This window comes from Homo sapiens, chromosome 9 (assembly GCF_000001405.40).
Source record: "Homo sapiens chromosome 9, GRCh38.p14 Primary Assembly".
Lineage (NCBI taxonomy): Eukaryota > Metazoa > Chordata > Mammalia > Primates > Hominidae > Homo > Homo sapiens.
Window position 1 is genome coordinate 86,747,751 of NC_000009.12, and position 8,295 is coordinate 86,756,045.

The 8,295-nt window shown below is 43.2% G+C and overlaps 1 long non-coding RNA gene across 1 annotated transcript; it reads left to right on the top strand.

The window, feature by feature from the left end:
- The first annotated feature begins 3,286 nt into the window (after positions 1 to 3,286).
- Positions 3,287 to 7,456, top strand: LOC124902195 (uncharacterized). The gene is made up of 2 exons (XR_007061637.1): positions 3,287 to 3,955; positions 7,220 to 7,456. It is a non-coding gene; the product is annotated as an uncharacterized LOC124902195 (long non-coding RNA).
- The last annotated feature ends 839 nt before the right edge of the window (positions 7,457 to 8,295 follow it).

Below are 8,295 nucleotides of genomic sequence, written 5' to 3' on the forward strand. Positions count from 1 at the left end.
GTGAGGACTATTATTTACTGAGAATTTTGTCTGCAGAAATATGAGGATATAAGATGCGTGTCACTCTAGCTGACATCTATAACCTCAATCCTGAATTCACCCAACATTCCTCTCATTGCAGGGTTGAGAAAATGCCTTTTGGTAAAATCATAGAATGGTAAAGCAATAAGGAACCTTTGGGATCTGCTCAATGCCTGCTCATGGACACAGGCTTCTTAGTGACAGAGCCAGGGCTAAAACAATGAAAGCTATTTCTTTTGCTGGCTATGCATCAACTACTTAATTGAACGTGGTGGCAGTTCAAAATCCTCAGTCCCAGCCCCTTTTCTCACTCTGTGCTCTAACACCAGGTGGACACATTCATTTCCAGATGTTAAATACTGTTGTATGCCTATGACTTCCAAAGTTAGATTTTTAAGCTCCAGACTCATGTATCTAACTGCCTACACACTCTTTCTCCTTGGCTGTCTTGCACATATATCTAAATTTGTCTGAAACAAAGCTCTTGGTCATACACCCAACATTTTACTCCTCACAACCTCCCTCATCTCAGTAAATGTCACCATCATCCACCTGGTTGTTAAAGCTGGAAGTTGGAAGTCGCCCTGGAGTGCTTTCTTTAGTCCACATCTACTTCCAGTCCTGTTGGTTCCACAGCAGGGTAGGTCTCCAACCAATCCATGCCTCTCCATCCCCAAGAGTGTGCTCTCCCAGGTCACTGTTATCTCATATGTAGACTATTCCAACAGTTCCTGAATTTTTTATTTCTTCTTCTTTACCTACTGCTATGATTTGAATACTTGTCCCCTCCAAAACTCAAGCTGAAACTTTCCCAGTGTAACAATATTATGAAGTGGAGCCTTTAAGAAGTGATTGGGTCATGAGGGCCCTCATAGATGGATTAATCTATTCATGGATTAATAAATTAGTGGGTTATGGAGGGAGTGAGGTAGTTATCACGAGAGTGGATCTGTTATAAAAGTCAATTTGGCCATCTCTTGTGAGCTCCGTCACCATGTGATGCCTTGCACCACCTCAGGACTCTGCAGGGAGTCCCTACCAGCAAGAAGGTCCTCTCCAAAGGCAGCTACTAAGTCTTGGACTTCCCAGCCTCCACAATTGTAAGACATAATTTTTTTTTCTTTATAAACACCCAGTCTCAAGTATTGAGTTATAGTAACAGAAAATGAACAAAAATCCCTACCATCCAACCCATTCTCCACACAGCATTCAGCATAATCTAATGATGTAAGCCAGGTTCTATCATGATTGCTAGTTACAATCCTTCTAATTGCATATGGAGTAAAATCCACAATCCACAGTGGTGTGGAAAGCTCTGACAATCCAGTCCCTGCACATCTCTAACTGCAGTTTATCTCACTCTCACCTTTGGTCACTCAGGTTCAGCCATGCTGGCCTTCTTTTAGTTTCTCAAATGTGCACAGTGATTCCTTGTCTCTGGGTCTCTGGCTGTGCTGTTCTTCTGCTTGGAAACACTCTGCCTTCTTCCCCTCCTCATACTCCAGACCTCAGCTTAAGTATGACATCCTCAGAGGGGCTTTTTCTGATAACTTGCCAGTCTCTAAGTCAGTCCTTTGTTAGTTTCCTTTGTAGCACTTATCGCAATTTGTAATTCTTTTATTAATAAGTCCTTTTATTCAAATTCATTTATTGTGACTACTCCAAGAGCAAAGCCAAGTTTGCCTTTCTTATTGTAATATCTATAGCACCTGTCACAGTGCCTGACACATAAGAAGTGCTCATAATATATTTGTTAAAGAAAAATATAAAATCACAGTGCCTCCCTAACATTGGCTTATTATTTTAGAATGAGTTTGCATACCATCCCAGTGAGAAAGTTTTTCTTCTCCGATTAGATCTTTATAAACAATTTCTTCTTCTTTTTGCTTAGAATTTTGCTTCCTTTTAGTATAAATACAGGAATTTGAGAGCTTGTTTGGCAGTAACTATGCTGTTGGCTTATGTACTTTACTTTAGAAAGCATGCAGATGCTAAGTAAACTGCACAGGCCCAGAGATGTATATCCATGTGTCTTTAAAAAATAGACATCTGTTCTTTCTGATCTTCTTCTATGTTCACTGCTGCAGAGAATCCAAACTCAAGCAGATGAGTTAGAATCATTATTCTGAACCTCGTGGTTTTTAATGAATGGCTCCAACTCTTTGTTCTAATAGACATAATCTGTATAAATTCATTGAATGGGACAATGCTGCAAGAGAAAGAAGGTTTTGAAGAATCCACTGGCAAGAGTCCATTTGCTCGTCAGTGATAAGTAACAGGTCACATGGTTTGTCCATAGCCTGGAGGATGATGTCACGGAAGCTGAGGGATTTGCAGAAGAGTCTGACCCTGTATTAACCTCATCATTTGCTTGGATAAACTTCAACCTGGCGTTGCTTTCTTTACTTTGTATATTTCAAATTAGTTCTTCTAGGGGTGATGTAACCCAGAGAAACACAACTACAGGAGTTGTTCAGATGTACATTATTTCCAAAACACAAACAAATCCCCAAGTTTCCAAAAGTAGGGTTTTCCAGTGCTTCTAAATATAGAAGCACAGCCTCAACATTCCTTGGAGAATTTTCTGGAAGTATAAGGAATTGTTAAACTGTAAGGAAGGGAAGAATTAGAGAGTACAATGTCTATAAAGGAGATGACTGAGTATGTAACTACGAAAGAATTCTTCTAAGGCGAGAGACATCTTCTATCATAAATTTACCATCTAAGACTTTCTTGAACTTTTTCAAATTTGCAAAATATACATCATATTGGCTTCATTGATACCAGATAATAAAGCCTCATAAACCTGTGTCTGTGAACCCTCTGTTACATAGTGTATCTACAGCTATGCCCAATCAGGCACTTATTAAATGCTTTTAATTGACACACCTTTAAAAGTTGGGGTAAAAATACCTTTTAGAAAGCTCAAGTAAGTGTTTTCTTAGCTTAGAAAATAGCCTGAAACTGGCCCTGTCTGCTACCTTGTACAAGAAACTCAACCCCATTTTCCATACGTTAATGCAAAATACAGTTTAAAACACAGTTGCCACTGGCAGAAGAAAGCAAAGCAATTGCCCGCATAACCCAATTTCACTTTAGCCTTTGCTGAAGTTGGCCCAGGTTCAGCGTGTCTACACTCATGCCACACGCCTGCGGCCTGGGTTCCTACACCTCCCTAAGTTCCCAGGCAGCCCTGGGCTGGAGGCACAGAGAACACCCAATTTCCCATTAAGCCTCCCCCGCCCTACCCGAACGCCAGGCAGAGTCTTCCCCTGCTTGTCACCTGGTTGGGAACCTTTAGAGGCAGCTCATCTTTGCATCTCCCCATCACAGGGAGCAGTGGTTTTGGTACCCACAGGACTTAGCCTTTGGTTTGCATCTGTCCTTCAGAGGAGGAGGATACAGAGGCTGGTTTTGAGATTATTTGGAGCTGGTGATCAGTGAGGTCTCTTTAAGCTGATTGAGCCAACTGTGCTGACTTAGTCAGTTAACCTAGATAAATACCACTCTGAGTTTTCTTTTTTCATTTAAGAAAAATAGTGTCAGAGTACAGGATGGACTCCCCCAGTGGGAGAGCTGACACCATGTAAATGATTCATTAGCAGATGCTTTAGCTGAACCTCAGCTGTTTTCACCAGTGACGTCGATGTGACGGAGATATTTGTTCAGGTGATGGGACTTGAGTGGGCCTTGGGCCAGACCTCCACCCCCAGGGACCACCCTTCTAGCACTGAAAGGCAATAGTCTTCACACTGGCTGAATCCTGTATTTTCTCAATCCTCCAAATCCGACCAACTTCTCTAAATTGTACTGCAAGGTTTTGGCAGCCAGAGCTCCCACTCCTTGCCACCATCCCACCGCCACCACTGGAGGTGCTGAAGGCCAAGTACAAGCCATCCGGGTGGAAACCTGTATTTGAAGGTCTGCACCGCGGGTAAGTCTCCCTGCCTTTCTCTGCTGTGGTTGATCCCCCTGATGAGGTGGGTTTGTTCATGAGTGTGCGGAGGTCTTGAATTAGAGCAGCTCATCTCCAGGTGGCCGATGCCACATGTATTTGCAATGGATTTTGCCAACTAACTCACTGGATTATCTATCCCTGGTTAGGTATCTCAGAGGTCCAGAGATTTTTGAGGTTTCAAACTTCCCATTTTTTAAGGTTTCCAGTATTTTAAAAAATGAAGAAACACCTACAAATGGTTCTTTAAAAACACCTTATGATATGTTCAGTTTACTTGGTCTATTTCTGGAATTGTATGCTATCCCTAGCTAGAAATGACAACACAAACAAAATCGGAGCTCTCCTGATGTGAAGATTGGACCAAACAGCTTCTCTAGCCTCAGCAGCTCCCTGCCAGCTCCTGAGCCTGCCTGTCCTCTGTGGACTCTGGCCTGTGGTCAAACCTGTTAGGGAATGGCTGGGTGCGGTGGCTCACACCTGTAACTCCAGCACTTTGGGAGGCCAAGGCAGTAAGATCATGAGGTCAAGAGATAGAGACCATCCTGGCTAACACGGTGAAACCCTATCTTTACTAAATATACAAAAAATTAGCTGGGCGTGGTGGCACGTGCCTGTAGTCCCAGCTACTCGGGAGGCTGAGGCAGGAGAATGGCTTGAACCCAGGAGGCGGAGGTTGCAGTGAGTCAAGATCGTGTCACTGCACTCCAGCCTGGGCAACACAGCAAGATTCCATCTCAAAAAAACAACAAAAACCCCCCAAAACATGTATCACCCAACTGAGAGGTACATGGAGAAGATCAAAGAGGCCTCAGCCAGTAGTTGGGGTTTGACTGGTAGGGGTTAATGACTTTCCTGTTAAGTTTTAAACCCGGTGGTGACAGCATTTTCCTCTTTATTTTGTTTTTGGAACTCCTGTCTGGTAGGGTAGCCGGGATGCCAGTGGCAATTCCATACCAAGTATTTGGTTTTTAATCCATAGCCTTTACCCACCACCCCATGTCTCTCAAGACTCCAGGGGAAGGGAAACATCTTTTCTTTGGGGATGACCCTTCATTAGAGCAAAGAATCCACCTCTTTGGTGGTTCCGAAATGTCATGATAGAGAGTGGTTCCAGGAGGGAATGAACAAATGTGTGTGGCAGAGGTGATGGAGCTCAACACACATTCCATCAACTGTCCCCCATGCCCGGCCCACTATGGTTAAGCAGATCATGTGACTAGCTCTGACCAATGGGCAGGAAGTGGAAATGGCATATGTCATTTCAGGGCTAAGGCATAGAAGAGTTGGTGTGTGACCCTTAATAGCTGTCTATTCTCTTCCTGTGGGGTCTGGAGATGCTTGACATGATAGGGCCTGATTTCTATAAAGCAAAACTCCTCTCCCTGCCATACCTCTGAAGATACAGCAGAGTGAGAAACAAACTTGTGCATGTTAAGCCATCTAGATTTCAGAGACCATTTGTTACCACTGCATAGCCTAACCTACCCTGATTGATACAACATGTATTTTAAGTATATCTTATTTAAACAATTACATTTGAAAGTATTTTAAACATTCTGATGTATGCATTGTATTGCATATATGTAAAATATAAGATTAGAAAGTTTTGATAGATAAAATTCTTCGGTGCAGCAAACAAAACACAGATTCGCATCTCTTTTTGTTTTTATGGTCTTTTAGATTTTGCATGTATTAAACACAAGATGCTAAGATTGTTACCCAATGTGGGCAGTGGGTTTAGAAGTGTGTAAATCAAATTTTCTTGGCAGTGAGTGAATGAAGCCTGAGACAGTCTATGGTCTCAGGAAACTCAGAAGAGTGGGGGAAAGGCCTGGAATAGGAATCAGGGGATGTATGGGCCACAGGATATTCAGGATCACTCTCTTTTTGTTTTCTTTTTTCTTTTTGTTTTTGAGATGGAGTCTCGCTCTGCCACCAGGCTGGAGTGCAGTGGCTCAGTCTCGGCTCACTGCAACCTCCGACTCCCAGGTTCAAACGATTCTCCTGCCTTAGCCTCCTGAGTAGCTGTGATTACAGGTACACGCCACCATGCCCAGCTAATTTTTGTATTTTTAGTAGAGATAGTGTTTCACCATGTTGGCCAGGATGGTCTCCATCTCCTGACCTCATGACAGGATCACACTCTTAAAGGAGGCTTAATTCTTTCTCCACGATCCTTCCTCATTCAATCCCACACTAGTCTATCCCCTTCTGAACTGCTATAGCAGCGGTTGTCTTTGCTTCACGTTAATTATAGTCTGTCTTACATCTGTCCATTCATTCTAGAAATATTTGCTGAGCCCCTAGGATGGAATTCCATGCTGGATTCTGGGAACACAGAGACCAGAGCCAGCCCTGAAAGACCTCACAATCTAAGAAGGTCACTTATAGTCTACTCAGAGTTTCCAAGTTGTTAGTTTTGCCCTTTATCACTTCCTCCTTAGAGGGAAGGAATTTTGTCTTTGGGTTCCCATTTATCATCCTCATGCAAGGTTACTGCTGGCAATGCGGAGACTGCTTCAGAGATGGCTGATGCCGTGTGTGTTGGGCACACTGATCAGCCACTGTGTCTGTCTTCATATTTATTGAAATCTATTCCCAAAGTAAAATGGTTCTCCTGGTTTTAGATCCATTCTCCATACTCAATCACTACAGCCTGCTTTGGGTTGCTTCATGTTATATGCTTCTGGAAAAGTCGTCATCATTTTCCATCCATACCACTTGGAGACAGCCAGGTTTTGCACTGGAGAGTGAGCAGCCGTAGAAGCGTTGCTCATGGTGGTGAAAGTAAAGGCTGTGAGATGGCAAAGCACCCGGCAGAAATCTGACTTGCTCATGAACATGCTCTCTTAAAGTGCTATTAACATGAAGCAGGCATTTCGTGGGAAGGCCATTGCAAGCATCTCCCTTTTGCCCATCACTGACACTCAACTTGAAGTATCCTCCTTCCATATGCAAGTCAAAGCAAGACTTTTCCAAGTGTCAGCACCACAAGCTCAAGCTAGTTCTTGGCAGTGATCTGGGTTTCCTTTTGCCCCTGGCAGAGTATTAGCAACCAAAGCACAGCTAAGGAGCAGAGCTGCACCAATGGACTGGGTGTGAGAGATCACCTTGGTGCCAGCCTGCCCAACCCTCTGAAACACACCTGCCCCTGGTTTCCAGGGGCTCAGGGTATGCAGTCAGAAATGACACAATTATAGCCTCTTTTTTTTTTTTTTGCTTCTTTTTTTTTTTTTGTAGGGCAAAGGGCCAGCTTGTTCCCTCTGCAACTGGATGAGCTGAATTGGCAGCAGACAACCAGCGTTTCTCAGGAAGCTGTACCAACAAGATGCAAAAGGGAGAGGTGGAGCAGAGGAGGGCAGTTCATGAGCTGATTGTGCTAAGCCCTGTCAAATAATCCTTTAGAAACCCGATGGTAATCAATGCCACCCAAGGGCACCACATGTGCCAATAAAAACCTCTTGCATTTTGGCTAAATGTGGCTCGAGATTAGCATTGGGTGAGAATATCTGTTGTTTGCAGGCACTCCAGACTGCTGAATTCCAAAGTGACTCTTTTGATATTGATAAATAATGTGGCACACGATTCCTCCCCCATCCCAATAGAAATTGTGCAAATCCTTAATTATGAGGGCACTTTCTCAAGGGCACATTAGAATATCAGGCTAAATTGAGTTGTTATCTTCGCCTTTGCCAGGGCTTTCAAAAAACTGCACAGCAAGCTGCCCTTAGAAGTTTTCTCTTTTGTTTGCAAATCATCAGTTCAATTTGGACTAAGCTTTCCAGGAATTAAAAAGAAAGAAAAAGTGCAGAAAAAATTACATAGAGTGAGCCTTCTAAAGTAGGTTTTGTTTTTTTCTTTTTTTTCTTTTGGTGAACGGGTCACAAGATTGCAATTCTAAACAATCTCACAATTAATTCTTGAGCTATGCAGTCCAATTAGAACAAACGCTTCCTTTCTGATTTAATTAGAGATGAGGACACGCCTGTGAGCTTATTTGTATAAAATACGTGCTCATTAAACAAGGTTTGGATCAGGTTCAGCTTGTTAGAAATGCCATGAAAAGGAGGCTGTCTCTCACTGTCTCTGGCTTCTTTAACCCCTTTAATGCCGAGAATGAGCTTCACAGGTGTGGCGAATATAAAGCGTCTCTTTGCTGAAACCTGGTGAACTTGAAAGAGGTGGTTTGTGACCAGCTTGACCAACATGGCGAAACCTCATCTCTACTAAAACTACAAAATTAGCTGGGCATGGTGGTGGGTGCCTGTAATCCCAGCTACTTGGGAGGCTCAGGCAGGAGAATCACTTGAACCGGG